The 26,869-nt window shown below is 41.5% G+C and overlaps 1 long non-coding RNA gene across 1 annotated transcript, besides 1 other annotated feature; it reads right to left on the bottom strand.

The window, feature by feature from the left end:
- Window positions 1–6,356: 6,356 nt before the first annotated feature.
- LOC107985815 (uncharacterized) lies at window positions 6,357–7,867 on the bottom strand. Its single transcript, XR_001739201.1, has 2 exons — window positions 7,634–7,867; window positions 6,357–6,745 (listed from the first exon to the last, which is right to left on the bottom strand). It is a non-coding gene; the product is annotated as an uncharacterized LOC107985815 (long non-coding RNA).
- Window positions 9,327–10,526: an enhancer, noted in NCBI's record as "CDK7 strongly-dependent group 2 enhancer chr2:119144023-119145222 (GRCh37/hg19 assembly coordinates)". NCBI's record gives its function as "activates an origin of replication core promoter dependent on BRD2, BRD4, P300/CBP, MED14 and CDK7 cofactors, with strong dependence on CDK7, by STARR-seq in HCT116 cells {active_cell/tissue: HCT116}" and the evidence as "EXISTENCE:reporter gene assay evidence [ECO:0000049][PMID:35650434]".

The following is a 26,869-nucleotide window of genomic DNA, read 5'->3' as shown; positions in this document are numbered from 1 at the left end:
AAGGAATAAGACCTACTATCTGATGCACAACAGAGAGATTGCAGTCAATAATAACTTAACTGTACATCTTAAAATAACTTAGAGTGTAATTGGATTGGTTGCAACTCAATGGATAAATGCTCAAGGGGATGGATATCCTATTCTTCATGATATGCTTATTTCACATTGCATGTCTGTATCAAAACATCTCATGTACCCCATAAATATATACACCTACTATGTACTCACAGATTTTTTTTTAGAAAAAATCTTAAAAAGCTTGGGAATCAGCCAGGTGCATTGGCTCATGCCTGTAATCCCAACTACTTGGGCAGCTGAGGTGGGAGGATCACTTGAGCCCAAGAGTTTGAGGCTGCAGTGAGCCATGATCACACCACAGCAGCCCAGCCTGGGTGACAGAGTCTTAAAACAAAACAAAACAAAACAAACAAACAAACAAAAAACACTTGGGAATCTCCAAGAAGAGGATACAGTATGTACCACTTTTCAAGGTATTTTGACCTTGCAACATCCTAGGACTAGTTTTCTGCATAAGACGTCTTGAAAACACCGACTTAGAGAATGACTGAAACAAGAGAAAAGGAAAAAAACATTCTCTCATATATTCTATGACTTGAAGGGGGCCAGATGCAAGAATACACTTTTTTAAGAATAAAGCAGACATGATTTCCTAAGATGAATTAAGCAACTGGAAGGCACCCATAGACTGGCTGGCAATCAGAGGGCAATCATGGGTTAAAGAAGCAGATAGATGTCTCAGAGTTAATATGGAGGTAAAAATAAGTCCCTGCATCAAGAAATATTAGTCATAAGCTGCCCATAACTTTTTACAGGCTTTTCATTTTTTTCTGAACATCTTAATTAAAAGTTAAAGTGGCTAACAATGCTGGCTTTCTTGAGAACTAAAGGAGCATCCACAGAAAGTGCAATGTTTTGCAATCATTGCTGAGGGCAAAGCAACCTCATAAAACCATAAAATATTAATTATTTATTATAGGGCTATGGAAGAAGCAAAAGTATAGGGTCTCTTTCGCTTTGGGGATTTGGGTTTGCAATTTACAGGACAAAAGGGAAATAACTTTGAAATTACAGGAAATCAGAGACAGGAAATCTTAGTTTTGGTCAAAAGCCATAACGTCTTTTGGTGAACTCCATTTGATGACCCTCTGCAATAACTAGAGGGAGTGAGAGAGTCTATTAAGCTGTTTCAGGACCTGGATGTATTCACCTGGAAAGATATATGGCTTCATATTACTTTCAGCATATTAAGGTGCCATTCACAAACAAGATGATCTATGGTATTCATCATTCACAACTCACTTCCATACAGATTGGGAACAGTACCCCCCAAAGATCCCACCATCCAGCCAAAATCCAGCAAAATACAAAGACCTAAAGGGTCTGGTTTTGATTTGGGAACAGGATGAGGCTACAAAAGGCAGCCTGGATGCTGTGAGGACCTCTGGGTTGGGACCCCGATGGGGTCTGGGGTGGGGAATGAGTGAGGGCCTAGGACCACTTCCGGGGCAGGCAAGGCTGGTAAACATTGTACTCCTGGGCCATAGCCCCTCTCTTTCTTCATTCTCACTATCGTGGACAGCTTTGCTCTGCTGATCCCATTCAAGTGATGAGTGTGGAAGGGAAGTAGGAAAGCAGGGACGGGCAGCCAAGCAAGGTGTTTGTCTTCCATTATTTTCTTAGCCAAAGGAAGATATTTCTACATATCCCCCTCTTCATCAGGTGTTTACTTCCCTTCCTCCTTACCAACCAGGTCTAGGGAATGATAGGACGGTTGTGTCTCAGGCGTGGGACAGCCCGTCCAAGGCTTTTCAGGGTGATTTTAGATGGTACATAGGCAAGGCATGGAATCAAATGGTATTGCATGATGAGAAAGTCCCTTTTTTTCAAACTTCTGATCTCATCCAGGATGAGGTCTTAGGGCTTGCTGATGGCCCATTCCTTCCCATAAAACAGGATCTAGCCTGAGGTCTGGAGTTCGAGACCAGCCTGATCAACATGGAGAAACCCTGTCTCTACTGAAAATACAAAACTAGCCGGGCGTGGTGGCACATGCCTGTAATCCCAGCTACTCGTGAGGCTGAGGCAGGAGAATCGCTTGAACCCGGGAGGTGGAGGCTTCAAGCGATTGACGCGATGAGCCAAGATCATACCATTTCACTCCAACCTGGGCAACAAGAGCAAAACTCCATCTCAAAAAAAAAAAAAAAAAAAAAAAAAAAAAAAAAAAAAAAAAAAAAAGAAAAAGAAAAAGAGAAAAAAAAAACAAGATCTAGCCAGGATAGAATCACATTGTTCTGTTTACATTGCATTTGTTTTGACAGTTGTCCCTTTATGTTGCAAGTGATTCTGATTTTTCATGTAGTGATATAAAGCTACCTTATGAAATGAACTTGTTGGAAAAAGGGAATCAGTTTAAATATAAAATACTTAGTGTCCTTCAGATGACATGAATATATGGCAAAAATCAAGACGGGAGGAAGCAAATGATTGAAATGAGGAAAATACGAAACTGGTGTGACCCTCCAAGTTAACATTTAGGGAAACTGAAGCCCTGAGAGTTTAGATAAACTGCCTACCGTGACTCAGGTATATTTTTGTCTCTTTCAGTTACTCATTTGTTAGCTTATTTATTTGATTGTTTCAATATGAAAAGGTCTGACACTGTGCTACAGAGAATGTTAGACCTCAGGTGTCCTGCCTCCCTGCCTGGGCTTCCCGCCACCCTCACGAGACTCTACCACCCCTTGCACAAGGAGGCAGAGGATCTAAGAGGAAGTGGCTGCTGTTTCTATGCAGAAAAGACAATGTATATGTTATTATAGAATGCCTGTGGCAGCAAGTAGCATAATAGCCATCTAAAAGTAGCTTAAACAATATGGGATTATTATTTTTTTATCTAATAGGCACTTAGCCTTAATTAAGGATTCGAATGCAGAGAGTAAATATTGACGCAAATAAGATAATAAGTTTTAAAAATATTCTTACTAAGAACTTAAGTGAGAGATGTCCTGTTGCATCTTAGAGGTTAAGCCAAATGAAATAGGAACAAACATGCACACCCCCTGACCCCCCATGTCCCAGTGATCCTGCTTATTTAGATGCTGAGGTGGAGTGTAATACCTGGTACTGACAGGAAGCGCTTCTGCGGAGGCAGGTACTGAGAGAAACTGCTGGCTGCCACCACAGCATGGGAACTAGACAGCAGGCAGCTGGACAGAAGGTGATGCCTTCTGTGGTTGTGGATCTGTGGGGCTGTGGCCAGCTTGCAGTGTGGGACCTGAGGCTCGCAGGCAGGTAATCAAGCAGGTAATGGAAACTGGAAATACCTTCAGAAGAGCAAGGCCCCTGGTTCCCGGTCAGCAGCACTAGTAGGGTGGACTTCAAAACCTAGATCAGACCTATTAGGTCCCTGCCTGTCTGTCTAACATCATTTTTTAAACCTTTAATTGCAGTATAACCTACACAAATTAAAGGGTATATATCACAAGTGTGTAGCTTTATGAATTCTCCTAAACTGAACACACCCATGTAACCAGCACACAGATTCAAGAAAGAGGATATTGGCAGCAACCTAGACAACCCCTCATAACAGCCTTTTAGTCATGAACCCTCCAAAGGGGAAGCACTACTCTATTTTTATACCTTCTGTAGACACAGTCATGCAGTGCATCCAGTCTGATTTCTTTCCTGTATACACTGTTATGTTTGTAAGACTCCATCATCTTGTTGTGGATAGTTGGGGTCCATTCACTCTCATTGATGCATAGTTTTCCAATGTCAATGTGCCACAATGCATTTATTTCCTCTTCTATGGATAGACATTTAGGTAGCTTCCGGTTTGGAGATATTACCAACCCTGCTGTTATGAACATTGGAGTGCATATTTTTGGTGCACGAATGTATGTTTCCCCGTGAGGTACATACAGAGGAGGACAAGGCTGAGTGTCCAATCTCATGGTACCCTTTGTCACCCTTGCTTGTTTTGTTTCCCTGCTTGAGGCCTTCCCACGAGTGCCGTTTTCTTTTCCTGGAGCACTGTTCCTCTCACTCTTCATCTGGTGAGACCCCACTTGTTGCTGAGATTTGGAATGAGATGCTGCTTCCTTGGGGAATCCCTCCCAACCTGTTGTGCACACTCACCCCTTGCTGGGCTTCTGCTTTGCTGCACTTAGCACAACTCCACCTAAATGACCACTGTGTCATTCCCTACTTGATGCTGCTGCCCTGTGTAGACTCTAAGCTTGAGGGAGGAGACATCTAGTGTTCTGCACTGGGTTTCCAGGCCCTAGCATAGTGGGTGGCACAATAGTGGATACTAAACAATTATTCAATGGATAAGTTGACGGCATCCAAGGCCAGCACCCATCTAACAAACCAAGACTTCAGCTACTGGAGTACATGTAATTAATTGGAAACTTCCGGTGCCCTTGCTGATGCCAAACCCCATGTCGTTTAGTTCCTCAAATCCCTGGCCATGAGCAGGTTTGTCTCCAGGGCCTCTGATAGAGTTGGGTGAGCAGGTAGGAGCCAAATAGCCCTTGTGTGAGGGTTATGAGGTGAGGCGGAGGTCTGGGCCTGCAGACCTGGGTTGACAAATAGTTTTCAAAGCAAGGCTTGCTTCTAAATGAGATAAGCCTAATTTGCCCAAAGAGAGATGTCTCTAACCTTCTTCCTCCTACTCCTTCCTTTTCTCTTAGGACACTTTCTGCTTATCACCCCTATCTAGCCTGGAACAGTTGGGGCACCCTCCAAGCCTATACATACTTGCATACCCCTTACCCCAGATCATGGATATTTCATTCCTTTTTGGTATTAGGATACTAATCTGTGAAAGGACATTCATATTTTATATCTTTTTGATGTACACAGGAATCAAATACAATTTCAGAAATGGCTTTTCAGAATTATTATGCAACCCAACTTCATTTGTAATACATGTCAGTGATTGGTATAAACAACAACAATAAAAACACATATATAAATATTAAATAAAATGTTTATTTGTTTATTTGTTTGCATGTTATATCTCCCAAGATAGGATTCATTTCTGTGTCACAAGACTTTCCAACGGTGCATGGGAGCTGACAACAGAAGAGGAAGGAGAAGTGGAGGAAGATTGTGATTATGAGTGTGAGACACTGTTCTTTCTATCTCCCCAAAGCTTGGGAGGTGTGGGCAGAGTCAGAGACTGGGGGCCACAGTTTAACCAATGGGAATGCTGAGGGCCACCTCTTCAACATTTCTTTCCAACCAGTGGTTTCCATACCATGAAGGCACCATTGTGCTATCGACATTAAGTATAAATAACCAGGTCACGGATGATGACAAGACTCTGGTCAAAGTAAGTTTGAGGTAGGGAATACTTTTTTGTTTTATGAGAAAATATAGGTATTAGGCCAAGAAATAAAATTATATATTTAGATTCCATATACATGAATAATATTTGTTAAGGTGCTAATAATTTATTATTTTTAAATTAAACATCAATCCACAAAAAGTAATAGAGAGTATAAAGGATTTTAGCTTTGAGGAACAAAGAAGAGTTCAGAACAGATTGCCAGAAACATGACTTTGTAGTTCCAGCTCAGAAAGTCTGTGTTGATTGATTTACTGACTCTTTTTAAGAAAGTGGGATACAGGGAGACAAATTTTTCCTTCTCCCCATTTTGTAGAATGTGTATTCCCCTCCCACTTGGCATGAACCTGTTAAGCCATAATTTGACTGCCTACTCCATCCTAGCCTTCCACTATAACAAAATAAGCAACAAAAATGTCTATTTCTAAGTCATTTCAGTGAGATTTTGAATTACATGGGTGGTTCATCCAAAGTTTTTTGCTTTCATTTGTCACTCATAAACTTTAGCAAGGAAAAAAGACATCCATTTTAAATTTAGGGAATTCAGTAAATGCCTCTGTATTAACCTGTTCTCATGCTGCTCATAAAAACATACCTGAGGCTGGGGAATTTACAAAAGAAATAGGTTTAATTAGACTTACAGTTCCACGTGGCTGGGAAGCCTCACAATCATGGCAGAAGGCAAGAAAGAGCAAGTCATGTCTTACATGGATGGCAGCAGGCAAAGAGAGAGAGAGCTTGTGCAGAGAAACTTCTGTTTTTAAAACTATCAGATCTCATAAGGCCCATTCACTATCACGAGAACAACACGGAAAAGACCTGCCCCCATGATTCGATCATCTCCCACTAGATCCCTCCACAACATGTGGGAATTATGGGAGCTACAAGATGAGATTTGGTTGGGCACACAGAGCCAAACCATATCAGACTCATAAAAGGAAAAAGATAATACATCAACGAAGAGGAAAATATTGGCTCATCAAATGGGAAATTTCTTTTTATTGATGAATAGATTTAAACAATTAGCACAGAATTTGACACACAGTGGACACTCAATGACAGCTTCCTTTTCCTCATCTCTTATTAACTAATGCTTAATATAGTCACTCGTTCACTCACTCCTTCATTCATTTCTTGGTTTGTTCTTCCATTCAATATTCACTGAGTTCTTAATGCCTATGAGTTGCTGTGTCAGGAACTGAAGATAAAACAAGTTTGAGTTTTTGTCCCCAGGTTGCTCACAATTCACAATTTTTTTCTCTTGATAATCGTGATTATTGCTTTACATAATTTTTCTCCTTGAAGTAGTCGAATGTAGTTGAACTTTTGTGAATTGATAATGGGTCCATCCAACTCCTGGTCTGAGCCCTGTCAGTAAATATATCATGAATCTTTTTCTGTAACACCAGCCTGTCTTACGGTGTGGTCATGTTCACACTTCAAAATCAAAAGATGCAAATGAAATTAAGAATGTGGAAGTAACTGTAAACAGCTAAAGAGGCTCCAGTGAATGAATGTACCAGCCATGGAAAGGTGAGAAGAGGAGTCTTTCATTCATTCCACAGATAGCTGTTGATCTGTTACTACACACCAATCTATTGTGGATCTTGGGGAATTAGCAGTAGATGCAATAGATAACAATTTCTGTTGTCATGGATTTAACATCTGGAACAATCCTTGAGTACATCCTATTTGCCTGGATATTTGCTCATAATTTCAACTGTGTTCTTTGACAACTTATCTGAGGTTAGACTAGGGGTAAAAGTTGCCTGAGATCTCACAGCTGAAAGGCAGCAGAGCTAGAATCAGAATCCAAAACAATACTCTATCCACCTCACCCTGAAGTCTCCCAAATCACAGGTTTGATTTGACAACTGTCCTGGGAAGTTAAGATGGTCCAGCTCCATTCTCCCTCCACCTCCTGCCTTTGGAATTTTTGTTAGCAAAGGAGGTCTAATACCTACTTGAAGCCAGGGCAGGACCACATAGCAACTACTTGAGGTGTCTTTTGGCTCTAAGAGATACCATTTGTGAATAAATCTTAACATTCTCTAAAGGGAGAATGTTCCTGGAAGGGAGAGTAGGGATGTCCCCCTACCTGATTGTTGAACTATCCCTTTCTCATAAACATAGCTAGGACGATTAACAGCTACTGCAGTTATCCCTGATAGCCTGCTCTCTAATATACCACAGCTATGCCATGGCTTTAAACTCTCCATGTCTGTGCATTTCCCCCGGTCTGGAACAATCACCTACCCCATTCATTGCCCTGACTTTCGTATCCATTTAAATACAGCAGTTCTTCAGGGCCAGGCAAGGGTCTCTCTCCATGAAGCTTTCCACAACCACCTTCTTCATCTGTCTGCCGGGACCCTTTGCTTGGATCCCCCTCTCCAATTTCATTCTGTTTTGAAGCACACCATAGTTGGCTTCCTGTTGGTCTCCCCAGCGTGACTGAGAGCTGCAGAGGGCAAGGATGTGTCCCACTTGTTTTTCTTTTCCCAGGATCTAGCCTTGGGTTTGGCACAGATTGGTTACTAAACATATATTTATTAAATGAATGATTACATGAATCAATGAAGGAAGGAATAAAAAATGAATGAGTAATTTAATAAGTAAATAAGTGACTGAAGGAGTGAGTCACGAGGAGTGAGGAAATGGCAGCCAAGAGGAGCTCCTGTGATCATGAGCTATGTTAATCCCACTAGCATGGGAAAGAAGGTTATTTTGTGACTTTGCCATGAGTGGTCTTTTTTTCTTTTTCCTTTTTCTTCTTTTAGTACACTTTTTTAGTACATTCAAGTGGTGGGCCCTCTCTGGCTTGAACTGTGGCAGTGGGCCCCAAATGCCTTATATCCTCTGTGAGACCAAGCTGGACATACATTAAATTATTAAAATATAGAAACATTAAAACTGTCTGGACCTGAAGGCAAGAAGAAACATATTTACTGAGTCCATGGACTGAGCTATTGCAGTTCCACAGTTCCTTATGCACAACTCCAACACTGAAAACCTAAGAAATCTAGTTTTACCACAACTCACTGTTTATTTATTTCACTTAGTAGAAAATAGTTTTAGGTTTTGCTGCAGAAATATTTCCGTGTTTGATTGAGGGTGATGTCCAAACCCTGCTAAGGGTGTTACTTAATATGAAAAATATAGACCATGTTACTTTTCTAAAACCCAAAAATGATTTCTGAAGCACATCAAGCCACAGGATTTCAGACAAGAAACTGTGAGCCTGTCCTATACCCAGGAGCCAAGTTATCAAAGTACAGTGGGTGTCCAAAAGTAGGAGATTCCAAACAGAATGTATTAAAAATCTAGGAAGATTTCAAGAGGAAAAAATCTGGAGAGAGAAAGTAGGAACATAGAAGCTTCAAAACCAGGGAGTACCCACCTCCCATGGACCAGATCCTATCCCAGGGGCCATCAGTATTTGTAGTTTCTCCAGACCACTAACAAGAAATGGCTGCCCTCACACCCTGCCTTTCAGGGGCCTCATGTAACCGGCATCCTCACCATCATTGCTGGTTTGCCTGCCTTCAAATGTTTATTATTAATCATACTGACAAAAGTTGTGCCCTGAGAATGCTTTGAATGTGTGCTGTATATGAAGTGTCTATGCCCAGTGCCTAGCTCAGGGCCTGACATAGAAGAAATACTCAATAAATGGGCCCAATAAGTCTTTAATGAGCATGTGTGATATGTTGCTCTTCATGATGTGCTTTTATATGCATTGTCTCACTTAAAATGACCCAGTGAGTCAGGCAAGTGGAATGAGTCCCAGGGAGGTTAAAGCACTTGCTCAAAATCATAAACAGTTCTGCTGGGACTTGCACCAAAGTTGTCTGTTAAAAAATCCTATTCTCTTTCTTTGGCATCAGTGTGCCTCCCTCTTGTGTAGTCTGAACCCTCAGAATTAAAGATGAATAAAAATGCCAAGTCATGGGAAAGTCTGGCCCTAAGAAAAGCAACTGATGAGCTATCAGCTCATGGACTGTCAGCAGGGCCATCTGTAGGTGATGCCCTCTCCTCTGTCTATCCTCTTGTGAGGTCAATCCAGCAGGAAGTCCAGCCCTGCCGAGAGAAGGGGGTACCATGAATGCACCGATGGGACCAGAGTCCCTTCCGGAGCTCCCCAGGTCCCAGCACTGCTGTCCTCCTTGTCTGCCTGTGTCTTCTGGAGCTGGCCTTGAGGCCCATGAAGAAATGCAGCCTTTTGAAGGTAAAGCAAGGACTACTTGATGCTGAGATAGACAGGGTGCCAGCACCCAGCTCAGGTCATGAGAAGCTGAGTTCACTGTAAGAACCCTATAAACATCTGCAGCAGATGGACCTGCCCAAGGTGAGGGTTCAATTTTCCCCTGTGAGAACAAGCCGACTAGGGAGGTACTAGCCGTGCATGAGGTCATCCTGACTCTCCTCTGAGAGAAGGATGATTCAGCCTATGACTCTCCTCCGAGGGAAGGATGATTCGGCCTATGTCCCTGTCTTCCTCTGCAGCCTTGCCCTGACATCTGGAAAACAGGTACTGGGTCAGAAGGGAGCGAAGCATGAGGGTGGGGTGGGGCCCAGCATCGGGATCCTGCACATCTCTCAGTAGTGAGCAGGCTCTGAGGAGCCACCCCTGCCCTGTGACTTTCCACACTAGTGAAGGGAGCATGTCTTGCATGTTCAATATGTCTCTATTTTCCAGCAACGTTACATGGATACTTCCCTCACTCTGAACAGCTCACAAGTTGGCCAGAAAAATGCTGTGTAAACTCCAGGCCAGGCCTCTAATTCTCTGGCGGCAGCACCAGAGAAATGAGGAGAATGTTCTCCCACTGGCTTCTTCAGCAGGATCTGTGGTACATTTCTAAAAAATAAAAGAAAAAGAAATCTACAAAGCTGTAATGCTCTAGCACGTCATGGCAAAGATTTTGTTTTTTATGTTTGAAAAAGAGCTTGAAAGAATAACACGTTGAACATTAGGTTAATATCTGCTCCTGCTCAAAAATGATTTTCTTACACAAGAATGTCCCTTCCAAAATGGCTTTTTGTCAGTAGCATGAAAGCAAGTTTGGCATGGGCCCAGTGGTGATTCTGATGGGAAGTGAAAGGCAGGCACACCCTAACGATCAAGATCAAAGGCCCCTAGAGCACCCCATATGCAGGAGGAGTCGCCCACTGCCCAAATGGTGCAGGGCCATTGCCAATTTCCCTGGCATTGCCAGGAGCCTCTGGGATCTACCATAAAGCCTTAGACCAAGGAAGGCCTTGTCCCATACCCAGTGAGTGGAGTCTCTGCCCACCAAGTGCCCACCTGTCTCTCCTGAAGTCTCTCTACAACACTGCCACCACTAGCAACCTCACACACCATTACATGGAAGAGTTAAAACATGAGGGCACAGTAGTCTCCAGGTCCTTGGGGGAAATTACTGGGCCAGATTGTAGCCCATTTTTCTTTAATTTCTTTCCTTTCTCCCTTCCTACCTCCCTCTCTTCATCCCCACTTTTCTTTTATCAGTCAGTTGGCAACATTTAAAGAGAACTACTCTAATACTAGGCATTGTGCACGGGTGAGTCAAGTACTGTTCTCCCTCTCAAGGAGTGCACAGACTAGTGTGGAGACTGACATTCCAACACGTTATACCTTTTAATGGCTTCATGCTTGTCACAGCATTAAGTGTAGAATGTCAGGCAAACAGAAGGAGGCCCTGAGCCAGCCAGGCCAGGCAGGGGTCTTCAACAACTCTGTGGAGTAATGTATGAAACCAGGGGAAGGAAAAACACAAGCTGTGGGTCAGACTCATTGGGGTCAAGTCTGAGGTCTGCCTGCTCGCTCATTGGCTATGTAACCCTGAGCCTTGGTGACCTGAATAGTAGCATGAGGGTGATGTTCATGTCATGCTGATGTGGTACAGTGCCCCATGCAGTACAGCGACACTCAAATGAGGACACCCAGAGGGCACACCTTGCATTAATGCAGATGTGAAAATCATGCAACTGTGGATCAACTCCCTGCAGCCTGCACAGGCCTGCACCAGCTATTTCATAAACCTTGCAGTCATGCAACCCCATATTGTATTGGAGGGGATATTTAGGACCTCACCTCTGGCACTATGATCACTAGGAATCGTAGTAATCATAGTAGAATCATGGTAGGGATACTGCTCCTCCACCATGTTTCCCTCCACTGTTATAAATTGACATTTGGAAGTGAATGTCTTCTGTTTTTCTGGACTTCACCAATACAGTGACTGGGCAACTGTTTACATGTTATGTCGTTGGCTACTCAAGAACTTCGTGAGCATGTTTTTCACCAAGCTTTCCTTGGGCAGTTTATAATGAACCATCAATAGTCTCACATTTAATTCAAAATAAAAGACCTAACAAGGAATTTTTTAAATTCTGGTGAACGTGTGGGGAAATGAACATCCTCATGTACAGCTGATGGGAACAGGTTTGATGTAACCTTTCTGGAGAGCAATTTGGCGATGCATATTAAAAGTCTTATAATGTTTATGTCAACCCAGTGACACTACTTGTAAAACTTTACCCTAATAACCGTTTATGTGCGCAAAGATTTATCTTCAAATATCCTTATTGTATGATCCTTAACAATAGCAAAAAACTGGAAACAACATAAATATACAATAATAAAGTGTATTGAATACATTGTCATATAATCAAAACGTGTAATATACTTGCAACCATTAAAAATTACCTTTTAGGGGAATATGTAACCACACAAAATGTGTTTATGGTATATTCCTTGATGAAAAATTGTTCAAAAACAGTTTGTACAGTCTAATCTAACATTGTAAATTTTTTTAAATGATTTAAAATGGACTAGATATATCTAGTCCAAAATATTAGCAGTGGTTATCTCTCAGTTGTGGGATTGTTAATTATTTGTGTGCATGCTTGTCTAAACTTTCCAAATTTTTTATAATCAGTGTGTTTCCTAGGCAGTTAAAAAGAAAAAAATGTAAAAGCTAAAGCTTAAAAGTCAGCAGGTTTGAATTTAAATTATCTCTTTGCAGTCATTTGTCATAGGATAAACTACTTACTCATTCTGTGTCTCATATTTTTTCTCTCTATAAAAGATAGATAATAATACCTTCTCATAGAGTTGGAGGAGGGTTACATTAGATAATGTGCATACAGTGCTGTGTATGCAACATGAACTCAATCCATGTTCCACTCACTTCTGCTTATGTGAGTTCAGTGACAGGAGACATGACATACCCAACTACCATGACTAGGTAGGTAAGGCTAATGCAGGAGGTCGGACCAAAGCTTAGGCTTGAAGCTGCCCCAGGTGAGATAACAGGGGGTGAAGAATGTGAATGACAGGAGGACTTAAACAAAGGCCAGGGAACACACTGTACGTGACAAGCAACCTAGGGCATTGGCGCTCTGCTCCACTTCTGCGGCTCCATTGGGCAGGTCCTAAATGATGTCCAAATGCTGACATCTCATCCTTAGCACTTAAGCTGAAACTTTGTTTTGAATTACTCTACTAGTTATCTGAGTAACAAATTGCTCTAAGAATTGGCTTAAAAATTGGCTTTAAAATGCAATCTGCATCTATTCTCTCATATAATTTCAGTGGGCCAGGAATTTGAAAGTAGCTTAGCTAGGTGGTGCTTCTGGCTTGGGGATCTCCCATGAGGCTAGAGTCAAGATATCAGCTAGGACGGGGGTCATCTGAAGGCTTGACTGGGGCTGGGATCTCATTCCATGATGGTTCACACATATGATTGGCAAATTGGTACTGGCTGTTGGCAGGAGGCCCTAGTTCCATGACATGCGGACCTCTTCAAAGAGCTGCTTGAAGTTCCTGATGACATGGCTGCTGGTGTCCTCTAGAGTGAATGATCAACAAGGGATCATTCCTTTTATGCTTTTTATGACCTAGCCCCAGAAGTCACACCGTCATTGCCATGAGGTTCTGTTGGTTACACAGGTCAACTCTATTCAGTGTGAAGGAGACTACACTGAAGAATGGATACCAGAAAGTGAGAATCTTGGGGGGCCATCTTGGAGGCTCACTATCACAGTGCCCTACTGCTGGAATATTCTTCCTACAAATGTCTGCAGGGCTCTCAGCCTCACTTCATCCAGGTCTCTGCTCAAAAGCCATCTTATCAGAGGGGCTTCCCTTGAGCTCTCTCCCAAAATGGAACCCCTTCCGATGTTCTATTACTTTGCTTTTACCCTGTTTTATTTTTCCTTAGAGTACGTATAACATCTACCACATTACATACTTATTTGTTCATAATTTGTTCCCCATCCAGCAGAATATAAGCTTTAGGAAAGGCCTGTGTCAGCTTTCCCACTGACACAGGAGATGGTTATAAATATTTGTTAACTGACTAAATGATTAAAGCATGGCATCACCTGATACCTCTGATGCTTGTTAAACTTCTATACATATGACCCATGAACCAATTAATAATTTCCTCCTCGGTGTCATTACCCTTGCTTGTAAATCCTTCTAGAATTGATGATGCTGGCCTTCTGAGCACCACCCTCTTACCTTGCATCCCTCCCAGCCCTGCCTCATGAGTCCTCCTCGCCTGCCTTGTTCCTCCTAGTGCTTGGCCTTCTCAGGACAGGCTCTGCTGCCCAGGCTTTTCCCTTCCCTAGCTGCCACAGTGCAGGTCCTCTGATATTCACACTGTTGAGACTTCCTTATTCTGGGCCCCACCTTCTAAAGGCCTAAGAAAAAGGATGACAACTAAGACTCATATATGACCCTGCTTCTCTGTCCCATATCCATGACAAATATTGCTAAATAACTAGACCATCTCCAATTATATCTGGGCCAAGGAACTACCAACACTTTACTGGAGACTACTCACAGACAATTTTCTGGTCTCTGTTGCTTAACACACTGTCAATTCTAACAGTAGGCACTGCAACAAGCAAATAATGAAGATACAGCTGACCCTTGAACAACACAAGGGTGAGGGGGCCTTACCTTCCATGCAGTTGAAAATCTGCATACAACACTTGACTCTCCCAAAACTTAACTACTAGTAGCCTACTGTTGACTGGAAGCCTTACTGATAACATAAACAATTTATTAACACATATTTTGTATATGTATTATACACTATATTCTTACAATAAAATAAGCTAGGGAAAAGAAAATGCCTAGTGTTCCATTACTGGAACACTAAGCATGTCGGAGTTATTTATATCCTACTGCTCAAGGTCATCGCCAAGGTCTGATTGCAAAAATTCAAAAAATTGCAACATTAGGCATAAATGGGTTAAGAAAATCATAAGAAAGAAAAAATATATGTACTATTTATTAAGTAGAAGTGGATCATCATAAACATCTTTATCCTCATCTTCTTCACATTGAGTAGGCTGAGGAGGAGGAGGAAGAGGGGTTGGTCTTGCTCAGGGGTGGCAGAAGTGAAAGACAATCTGCATATAAGTGGACCCTCACAGTTCCAACCCAAGCTGTTCAAGGGTCAACTGTATGTGGATGTGGGAGGGACAAATGAAACCATAAAGACAACATTTACCATACATCTACCACATGCCAAGCATGGTCTCAAGCGATTAATGTAGATTATCTCTAACATTTATTTTTCACAATCATCTATAAGGAAGTTACTGTTATTCTGATTTTTATGGAGGGAGAAATGGACTCAGAGAAGTAAACAACTTCCACAGCATCCCTTCGCTAAGAATTGGTACGACCAGTCCAAATTCAGGCGGTTGGATCTGGAGTCCTCTCTTTAACCACTGTGTGATATCATCTTAAGGTTTTCAATAACCAATTGGTTCATGAGGTCTTGGGAATTAATATCTATTTGTTAGGCCTAAGTGAAAGTTCCCAGGAAATTTCTGTCTGAAATGGGAATCAGAGAACTCTCACTCACTCCCCCTTAGAGACCCAATTCACTTCTTACCACCAGTTTTCATAGAGTTATACCAGCACTGCTTGTACATTATTATTTCACCTACCAGCCTATATTGCAAGACCATGTCTTCTTGGAGGTCTTCACTACTGCATCATGACTGCCTTTGGAGTTTCATAAGTTTTCTCATTTCTTAATCTTCATAGTTTAGCAAAGTACCTGGCCTGTGATAAGCCAAGTGAATAAGCCAGGTGAATAAATATGGTCTCTGCTTCCATGATACTCTTTGGCAGGCTAATTTTCAAAACTTAGCACTTCTCAAAGATAGGCTAAGTTGTACTTATTTATTGAATGGATAGTTATAGTCTTAAGTAGACTCTGTTATCATATCAAAATGGAAACATTGAGCAAATAATGGCTTTCTGGAAATGCAGCACTGAAATCTTCTCCAGGAGTTTTAACCCTGAAAAACAAGTGTGAATATTCAAGTTCTGTCCTGGTAAGGTAATGAGACAATGTATTTAAATACGATTCATGATTGCATCCCCAAGCAGAGTTTCTCCAGCTGCTGAGCTTATGAATCACCTGCCTCCAGTTCTTCTAATTGCTTTGATCAAAGGAGGTTTAAACAAGCTCTCTTTGGGAGGTAACAAAACCAGCATGTGGCAAGAAATTGGCGTTAACTTCTACCAGCCCTTGCTAACCACAGGGCTCTGAGGGGTTCAGAAATGCTCACAGGCTTGCCAGTAGAGTTGGACAGACACGGTAATGCAATGGGAAATCTGTGAAGGGTGAAAGTCACATTCTTTTAAAAAGTGGGAAAGGCTTTCAGACTTCCTAAAAGACAGTAGACTTAAAGCATAGATGAATATGAAATTAGTGCCAACCTGCCCAGGATAGGCCATCAGGAGGCATAATATGGGGTCCTTTAAGTTGACACCTATGTGGAATAAAAAATGCTGTGGCCTAGAAGACGAAGGATGTGACCTTTCCTAAGGCTCTTCCCATCTCAAGACCTTGGTTTATTTGTTGTAAAGGGAAGAGACTGGAGCATGTGATCTCCTCAACCTTTTCGTCCTCAAATGTTCTAACAGATTTGAATACTGTCTGAGTGACAATATCCAAATGAGGTATTGGGTTGTATTTGTTAGTTTTAAGGGATAAAAGCTGAAAATATCAACTTTGTAATAAGGTGGTTTTTTTTTAAGAAAAACCTACGTAATATGTTTTGCTTGTTATTTTAACAATAGAATTGAGAGGAAACAGTCAAATCCTAGTGAAGGCCTGTAGAATCATTTATGATGCCAGAGCTGCAATTCCAACTATAGCCCTTACCTCAGCTTGGCCCAGTGGGGTCTGCATCTCTCTGACTTAAGATGTATATTTGACTCACCTTTGTGTGTGTCCCTCACTGTACCTTGGGCAGTGCTTGACATAAGATGTGTGCTTAATAGCTGAATATGGAATTGCGCTGGATTGAACTGAAATCTGCTTAGAAATGCTCTTTCTTATCAGACAATCCAATGCATTTCAGATTGGCCCAAAATATCTGTACTATATAAGTTGGCTCTCAATCATGAGGTGCATTTGATGGAAAAAGATGGGGGAGGGTTCTGTTTTCCCAGAAATATAAGGAGAAACAGGGCATTAAGAGTGCCTAGCCAATAAGTGGTAGAGTGAAATTTGTTAAAGTTCTGTCAAACTCTAAAACCTGTGGGTTTTCTACTATACGAAGGGGGACACTCTTGCATAGGCATAGATAGTCCAGTGTTCTAAGTGTAAATAAAGTTTACAGAAGCAATTTGAAGATGCCTGATGCTTGAGTGACTGTAAATGGGTTCTCCATTAAAATGTAGAAGGGCATTTGGCAATACCAAACTGATCATGGGGAACAGAGCCCCAGTGTTCCAAATAATTTTCTTGGCATCCTCCAGTGTGAATAAAAAGGTCCAGCCATCTTCCCTACACATGTTCTATTCTTTCTCTGGTCTCCCTTGTGATAACAGAAAGGGAGGCCAGATGGACAGCTTTCCCAATAGGTATTTATCAATTACAATGTCAATATAATGGACTGTGGACTCTTTTTATTTTCTGTGTAGGATAAAGTTCATCAAGTAACAAGGCTATTGGTGGGTGCAGATGAAAGCTGTGTTAGGAACTGATGGCCAGTGCTGGCTGTGATAAGCAAATATATGGCATCGAGTAAACGCGGCCTGAGGATTCTAAAGCAACAAGGTCTGAACATCCTCATTAGCACAGAAATTTGACCTAGTCGTCCAAACCTTTTTGGAACAATGGTTTCCAATATGTTTAAAAGTCATGGTGCCCCTTTTCAAACAAAATCTTAATAGATCCCCAATATACAAAACAAATACAAGCAGAGGTCACTGAAATTAGGACAGGGAACCTTTGGCTGCACCCCTTCCTTCATTCTTTCCCTGGGAAACAGTCTCAAGGTAATTCTCTGAAAATCTAGGGCTTCACAGAACACAGTAAAAATTCCTGGCCAGAATACCACAGCTCTCCAATAAAGTGATTTCTTTCCTTTTTTTTTCTTTTCTTTTCTTTTTTCTTTTTTCTTTTTTTTTTTTGAGATGGAGTCTCTCTCTGTTCATGCTGGAGTGCAGTGGCATGATCTCGGCCCACTGCAGCCTCCACCTCCCAGGTTCAAGTGATTCTCCTGCCTCAGTCTCCAGAGTAGCTGGGATCACAGGTGCGCACCACCACACCTGGCAAATTTTTGTATTTTTAGTAGAGATGGGGTTTCACCATGTTGGCCAGGCTGGTCTCGAGCTCTGGACCTCAGGTGATCCACCCGCCTCAGCCTCCCAAAGTGCTGGGATTACAGGTGTGAGCCACCACGCCTAACCTGTGATTTCTTTTCTTATCAAGATTTAATTTGCTCTTGACCATTATTACAAAATTAGAGATGTGTTCTTTGGTAAACAAATTGACATAAATACGTAAAAACAACACCTTTTAAGAATGGACCAAGCCTTTTCTACTTACATATTAAAAGGGGAAAATGTGAAATAAAAAAATAATTATTGTATAAAAAATATGGAAAATTTTCTGGTGGCCAATAGTTTAAAGGTCTAAGAGAGATGGGATAATGCCAGCTTAGCTGAAGCATCCACTCTGGACAGGAGTCCCTTGGCGTCTAGCCATCTCTCTGCCCAATATTCAACAGGAGGGCAGCATAGAACGCAATCTAGTAAAGTGTTGACAGAATTAATCAGGCTCCATTTTCAAGTTTTCTTTTGCTCCCTGGGCTAAGAAATTAGGAGGCTCTGGCTAATTCAGACACACTTTGAGGTTTCCCCAGAAACACAGTTTTCCTGGAGAAATAAAGCTAATGAAAGGAGAGGTTAACTATGTTTGATTTCCTGAAAGCCCAGTGCCTAATTTTATGTGAACTGCCTGATTTCTTTTAGACTTTAAGCACATGGCTCAATGACATTGCAGTGTTCAGAGTGGACAGAGGAAAAACATTTGTGAACAAGTCACAAAGCCAAAGTACTGATGCCTTGTGCATAAATGTCACTCACCTGATTTCAAAGCTCTTTCACAGACTATTTCAGTAAGTAGTGAAATTTATTAAATTTTATCTCTCTAATCCTCATCATGATAGGTGAGTTAGAATTTAGTCCTCAATTTTACTGAAGAAGAAATTGAGGCAGAACAAGAATAAGTGACTTGCTTATAAATAGCAGACTTCGATTTTGAATCCAGAACTCATTGACATCAAAGCCCTGAGTCTGACTGCCTCTCTAGGCTGCTTTGCAAATCTCAGTCCTTTTCAGGCATAATGCAACATTATAAAATTACCTCAAGAGCCGTGGGTCTGGACCTAGCCAAAATAAGTTCTCTTCAAACAAGCGACTGCAGAAATATGTTGATCTTTGGAACTCACAGTTGGCAGCTGGTGTGAATTCTTCTCAGGGAAGAAGAAACTAGCAAGTTTAAGGCAACAGGGCTTTGGGCAGGTTGGAGTGGGGCAGTAGTCTGCATAAGCAGATTTCAACTTTAGGTAATGATTCTGGTAACAATGTTAAGGGTATATTAGACAGGAAAGAAACTAGAATCAGAGAAACCAATAAAGAGGAAGCTGCTGCAATAGTCCAGAAATAATACCTGTTGTGATTAAGACAGAGGAAGAGGGGTTCAGGAGAAGAAGGAAGATTCTGGAACTTGGTGAAGGTAGGAGCAGCAAGCCGAAGACAGAATTTCTCCCAAGAAACTCTAACCTAATTGTAGAGGTAAGTGGGGAAATAGTTCATTGCAGCAAAGGGTAACTTGGACTGTAGCGAGGTCGACAAAAGTGCAGCAAAGCACAAAGGAGGGTCCCCTTAGTTGTTCTAGGACCAGGGGAGAGCAAGTCACGAAAGGTGTTCTATCCGAGGTGATGACTGAGCAAAGGATTGAAAGAGAATGCAAGGAACTGGCCGTGTAAGAGGACGTGAGAGACCATGGCTCCGGCAGCATGTGTCCTGCCCGGAGCTCTGAGAGGCTGCAATGAGGGATTGAGGCAAAGGGGAGGTGAGGATGGGAGGCCAGGTAGGGCCTGGGTCGCAGGGTGCTCATCTGGGAGCTTGCTCGATAAAAGGCCACAGGAAGAAACCGAATCTTCTGTAATATGTTAAAGAGGTGGAAATGTAAGGCCCAGAAAGGTTGAACAGCTCGTCCAGGATCTCTGCTCTCGACCTTGGCTTCAGTATGTGGTCCACAGGTCTGCAGTGCAAGCCTGGGCTGGTTAGAAATGCAGAATCTCAGGTTGGCCTCAGACCCACGGATCAGGAACTGGTTTGAACAGGGTCTCCCGGTGGTGATGTGTAGGTGCACTAAGTTTGAGAATCGCTGCTCTACAGTATGCACAGTTTCCAGGATGCTAGCCCCTGTCTGCAGCCAAATATCTGCGCGGTAGATGGTGCTTCTTGCAAGTCAAAGAGGCGCAAAGGTGCTGGTAGGGAATGCTGGGTCTCGTTAGGCGTGGCTGTGGGGACGCCCTCCACTGCAGGCTCCACCCGCATCAGCCAAACCATAATCAGCGCCCAGGCAGGTGGAGCAGGAGCCCCCAGATTGTCCTACTTGTGGTACAATGCGCGTATGATTAATCACTGTTTCCAGAGGCGCCTCATCAATCAACACTTCCGAGGGCCCAGGACAAAGGGGTCGTGGTAGATGAGCGCTGGGTGCTGAGAAGGACCAATCTCCGGTCTCTGATAAGATGGGCTCGTGGAGTTGGGATGGAGGAGGTCGGGACTAAGGAGCATTAGGCATTCACCCCGGCTGCTCTGATTGGTAATTAAGTGACTCGTCTACTGGCCGACAGTCCTGCATGTTCCCCCAGGCATCTGTTAGTTCTTCGAAAACCACTACTGACAAAATGAGGTTTGCCCTTGGTACACAGATAATGAGACTGAGCTTGACAGGTATGGCGCGATTAGAAAATTTCTACATGAAGCTCATTCTGCTAGCCACTCCACAGTAAACAGACTCATTAGAACTTGCGGGTCCCTGGAGGCAAAGCATGTTTGACATTATTAATTGGCTTTTCTGTATAAGGAGTCAAATAGATGAAAAGGTTTATCAAGCTGAAATAATTAATTTTGCCTGAATTCGCTGACAGTTCATTTCTCCTGTAAAAGACCATTTTAAGGTCTTTTTTTTCCCGAATTTCAAAGTTCAAAAGACATAATAGTGGCAAAAGTGAAGCTTTTTAGTAAATGATAATTAAAGGGAATTTAATTAACTTAGACCTGGGGAAGGGGAAAAAAAGGAATTGCTATCTGTGTCTATACAGAGGTCTAGATGGTTGAACATATCATGACTTAATAATGCATTAATTTTAATCTAATCAAAGTATAATAAAATAGGTAATTATATGTTTAAAAATTACCAGGCTCCAATAGTGGGGTTTTTAAACACTTAATACTTACCCAGCTTCTCGTTAGCAAAGTTATAATTGTTGTTCTCAGATCCTGCTTATTTAAAGATGGGGGCTTACAGGCAAGAGGTTAATTGAATAGATCATTGTAAGAACCCATGTTGAAACTATGATGAACTACAAAGTTTGCATTCCCTGGCTGCAAAAGATTTTTCTTTTCTTTTTCTTTATGTCTTTCTGTCTCTAAAAATAGCAAATTATTTCCAGCATTCCTTTATCATGCTCCTGAATGCTCCCACGCCCACTCTTTGTCACACAAAGCCAAAATCCAGTTCACATGAGATTCTGCAAAGTTCTTCCTCATTTTCCAAAATTTGCCACTTTCATCTCCAGCAAGGAGTTTTGTAGTTCCACTGTGAGCCTTCCCAATCTAAAACAATTGGCAATAGATAAACAGGGTTTCTCTCCTCACTGAGATCAGGCTTGGTGAAAAGAACCATGAAAAGTCATAAAACAATGGGATTTCGATTTGCATATAGGCCAATGATTCTGGTCATTTCATTAATAAAAGACTGAGACTTCTTAGAAATGTTCTAAAAGACATAGCTGTTTGGTAGCAAAGAATTATCTTGCCACATAGGAAACATAATAATTTTGTAGTTCAAAGATGATGCAATATTTCCCAAGTTTCTTTGACACTGATAATATACAATCTGGTGGGGCAGGAAAAGGAAGGGGTAGAGGAATCACGGAGAGTGGTTCTTCTATACCTGGTAGTATGTCTTGAACCAGCTCCTCAAGGCCTTTACCCACATCACAGGCTTCGCTCAGGCAGTGTGAACACCACCCTGCAATGACTGGCCTCCTGAAAACCTAATAATGATGATGGCTCTTTTCAGTTTTTCATAGATATTTTTGTAATCCAGAAATGTCTCTTGACTACACTCAAGTAAACAGCAGGGGCAGTTTATTGTTATTCCCCATCCTCAGTTGGAGGCAGGGCTTGGTTCCTTGAGACTTGTTTTTTTCATTCCTTGAAGTAGGATCTTAAAAAAGTGAAATGATTCAAATAAAAATCCACACAGAGGCTGAGCGTGGTGGCTTATGCCTGTAATCCCAGCATTTTGGAAGGCTGAGGCAGGAGAATCACTTGAGCTCAAGAGTTCAAGACTAGCCAGGGCAATATAGCGAGACTCCTTGTCTACAAAAAATTTTAAAAATTAGCCTAGCATGGGGATGCATGCTTGTGGTCCCAACTACTTGGAAGGCTGAGGCAGGAGGATCATTTGAGCCCTGCAGATCAAGGTGGCAGTGAGCTACGATGGTACCACTGCACTCCAGCCTAGGAGGCAGAGTGAGACCCCATCTCAAAAAAAATTAAAATTAAAAAAAAATCAACACATAAAAATTCACACCCTCATTGCATTATTTTGAAAAAAAAGAAAAAAAAGTTACTTCTGCCTTTTGCCAAAACATCCTCAGGTCCACACTTCTGAGTAAAGAAGGAGAGGCAGGGTGTATACAGTGACCACTCAGTGCACAGCATCTCAATTCCCAGCACAACTAAATGAAGTTATCCCATGTTAAAGATGAAAAAACTGAGGTTCAGAGGTGGGGAGAAAGTCATGTAAGGCCACTCACTTCAGCAGCAAAGCTGGACTGCCTAAATTTAAAGCCCATGTAATTTCCATTAGAAAAGAATAACCCCAAAAAGTAACACATATCGAATTCCCAAACCATAAATACTTGTAACATTTACCAGAGAGTTAACATTTGGGGTAAGAAATGTCATAACCCAAAAAGCAAATATCTACTTCCTTGCACCAAGGAATACTTGAAAAGATATATATTTTTTCAATCCTGGGAAACTTGAGACCTTCCGGTCCAGCACTCACAAACTTATTGTTCATCATATTTCCCACTCCTGCTTCCTCATATTAGCTCCTTAATTAACTATATTTAATGTCCAGGGGCCATTATGATTAAATAAAGGGTAAGATGTGACTGGGGCTAGAAGGGGGAGGAGGTTACTTGTGCCAAGGTTCAGGGCTGGAGCTGTCATCCCTCACCAGCATGTTTTCTTCTGAAGTCAATATGTTGTTCCATTTCAAACATGCTTAAAGAAAACACAAATTGATTTCTTTGCAATTCTGAACTACTTATCAAATGGTAATGATCACTGTGTGGTAAATCTCAGACTGAAAATATGCCACGCAATGCTTAGTCATTCCGTTGATGGAACTAATAATTCTCCCCTATTCTCTCATTCTACTCTCTCTCTCTCTGTCTCTTTTTATGTCTTTCTATAATTCTGCCTGATAAGACTTAGCAACCCAGAAAGGCTTAGTGTTAGTGTGGTCAGTTCTGAAGACTCCAAAGAAAGCGCACATCTACCCGGCACCTCCCTTTCATTCATTAACCCACCAGGGGCCAAGACTAATTAGATCAGCCTGCTCATTTTGAGCTGATAATTGATTTAAATAGATTGCTCATTTAAAAGAGAAGAAAACCCTGCTAAACATTTGGTGCTTGATTTTTTTTTCTTCTTTCCCCGCAACTTTCAATTGCTTGTGCAATGTAGCATAAAATGTAGAGGTCTCCCTTTTCTTTTCTCTCTCTTTTTTAAAGGGGCCATAAAATTAATTACAATAAGTAGGCAATGGGCAGGGGCAGGGGGTTAACTGATGGCTCTAATGAGCAGCCCAGCTTTGGGAAAGCTGAGCCACTCATGCTGTTTGTTGGCTGCAAGGGGGCTGTGACTTCCAAGAGGAGCACAGCCTGAAACCCTGAAACAGTCCATCGTACTGATTCTGTTTTCATAGCAACCAAAGTAGCTTTGCTAAGCTTCAAACAAAAGGAGCTTTCCTTTGCAAAGGTGGGGACATTTTGGAATTGTCTCCTTCCCATTAAACAAGACAAGAGGCCATTCCTTGGTACTCCCCCCACCCCATAGTCCCTGTTTTTTATACAATTTGGGAGTGAGAAAGTTAGGGAAAGACTTGGTCCCATTCCGTATTCTGAAGACCTTTCTCTTCTCAAAGGGTCTTTCATGGTCCGTCCTGCACCATATTGATTTATTTCAAGTGTGGATCAAAAAAGTTTAGACTAGGCTCCTCTTTGGAAACTACATCGTCCTGCTAGTTTATACTGTTCGCCTGACTGTATCCCTTTGACACAATGAAAAGAGCTTTTGTCTGCAGCCTGGAGGGCAAGAAGTGGAAGCAACACTTGTAATTTGCTCTGGAAAATGTTCTTGCAGTGTTTCCTGTTGCTGAGAGAAGAGATTGCAGAACGTGGTAAAGGAAGCTGAGGAATGTTGCAAAATCTTTAAAGGTAAATACAATTATTGGAAATAGAAAGTTACCCACCAAAACTGCATATGCTATGTTTTAGAAGTTCATAGCTTCCAACCCTACAAAATAGCATGATTCCCATGGAAAGAACATGGGCTTTGGAGTTAGACAAACCTGGACACCCTGATTCAGTCACTTACTACTTCTGTGTAAGTCATTTGCTCTCTCTATAACTCCATTTCTTTGCCTGTATGATGGAGACACTAACGTCTATTTTGGAGGCCTAAGGGAAACATAGGGGTTAGAGAAAATATCATAGCCTAGCACTGGCTCTAATAAGTGCTCAAGAAATAGCACCTATAACGCAAAATTTGGTTCCCTAATAGCCAGGAGAGGTCATTCATCCTTGTTTTGTCATCTGTTTGAGGCTGGGCAGTTAGGGAGAAGGTAACAGTGTATTGCATTCAGGGCCAGCTTCAACCTAACATGTGCAGTAGCACAGAGCCCCACATTCAGACAGAAAGGCCCCGCTGTTACTGTCTTGAAATACTTAATTTTTGAACAGCGGGTGCTGAGAGGGGCTCTACATTTCCACATTTTGATTTTGCACTGGCCCTGCATATTCCGTAGCCCCTCCTGATTATATATGCGATTCTGCAAATGCCTGGGCCATTCCTGGCATCTTGAAGAGCCACTTATGTGGGGTCATGTCTGAGTTAGTGGCACAATGCTTTCACACTTATAAATCACATTCTTTCTGCCTCTTCAACAAATTAGAACCAGAGGTAGCCTCTCAGTTCCTGTGGGCCCAGGGCCTGACTGCCATGAAAAGCTATTCAAGAGCACATGCTAGTGGCCAAAGGTCAGAATCGCACCTCTGCAGTTCCATCCGCTGGCCCCCTGAGAAAATCCATGCCTTTTGAGTAGGTGATGGAGCCCCTACCCAAGAGAGGACAAACAAGCACGAAGCATCCCACTGTTAATTCAGCGTTCATGTGGCAGATTGTTCGCACCATTAATGACATATGAATTTAGTCTCAGGTAATTTTTTTTCAAAGCAACCAGTTGTGAAATATATTGAGAAAACACTGCCAATTTCCAATCCTAATGACAGACACACTGTAGGTAAACAAGATGAATATTTATGGGATACCTGATTGCCTAAATGAGTTCCCTAAAGTATGAATAATTGAATGTGCATATGCTAATTAATTGGGAAAAGCCAGTAGGTAACTCCTTTTTATTTACATTAGCCTCATTTTATTTCATTTCTTATAACTATTACTGTTCCCAGTTATTTCCTATGCTTCAGTAAAATTGAGTGTCATTGAGAGAATTTTTAACAGACATCATGATTCTTCATTTCAATGGATGCATAAGCCAAGGTATAATATGTAGTGATGGCTTCTCAGGCAGAGTTACTTGGTTTTGCCTAACAATAAAAGTGATTGTTCATTCATGCCTACTGATCACCAATCTTTTTACATATATTTGCTCTAATAATCCTCACACCAACTTTTTGAGGTTTGATATTGTAGAAATTATGTCCATTTTACAGAAGACAAAACTGAGACTCACAACAGTTACGTGAGCTACTCATGCTCATGTGGCTATAAGGATTAGGGCCCAGATTCAAATTTAGCCCACCTAAAAGTCATCTTTCCAGAAAGGGAATGCAATCTTTTACCTGGACTAAAATGTTTTAAAACACTTTCCTTTGCTAATCATGTCCCAAACATTGGCCACTAGAATTTCAACAAGGTGTCTAATAATTCTCACACAGACAGCCAAGTCAAAATCTAGTCAGAACAACCATTTATACTTTTTTTAGTCTATCTTTTAAATAAGTTTTATATGTCAGATCAGTTTTAAGTTTACAGAAAAATTACACAGAAAGTAGAGTTTTCATATTCTCCCTCTTCCTCCACAATTTCCCTATTATTAACATCTTGCATTAGTGTGATACATTGTTTTCTAATTGATGAGCCAATATTGATACATTATTATTAATTAAAATTCATAGTTTACATTAGAGTTCACTCTTTGCATTATGTACTTCCCTGGGTTTTGACAAATGTATATGTATCCGTCATTATATCATACAGAAGGGTTTCACTGCTTAGAAAATGCGCTGTGCTAAACCTTTTTATCATTCCATCCACCTGCCTTTACTATCCAAAACCCTGACAACCACTGATCTTTTTTACTGCCTTTTCCAGAATGTCATATAGTTAGAATCATACAGTATACAGCCTTTTTATACATTTAAGTTTCCTCCATTTTTTTTCTGTGGTTCATGTCTTTTTATTGCTGAATAATATTCCATTATAGGGATGTACCACAGTTTGTTTATCCATTCACCGATTGAAGGGCACCTTGGCTGCTTCCAAGCTTTGCCAGTTATGAATAAAGCTACTATAAATAATCATGTTCTGATTTTTTG

This window comes from Homo sapiens, chromosome 2 (genome assembly GCF_000001405.40).
Source record: "Homo sapiens chromosome 2, GRCh38.p14 Primary Assembly".
NCBI lineage: Eukaryota > Metazoa > Chordata > Mammalia > Primates > Hominidae > Homo > Homo sapiens.
This window is presented reverse-complemented; position numbering and strand designations above follow the sequence as displayed.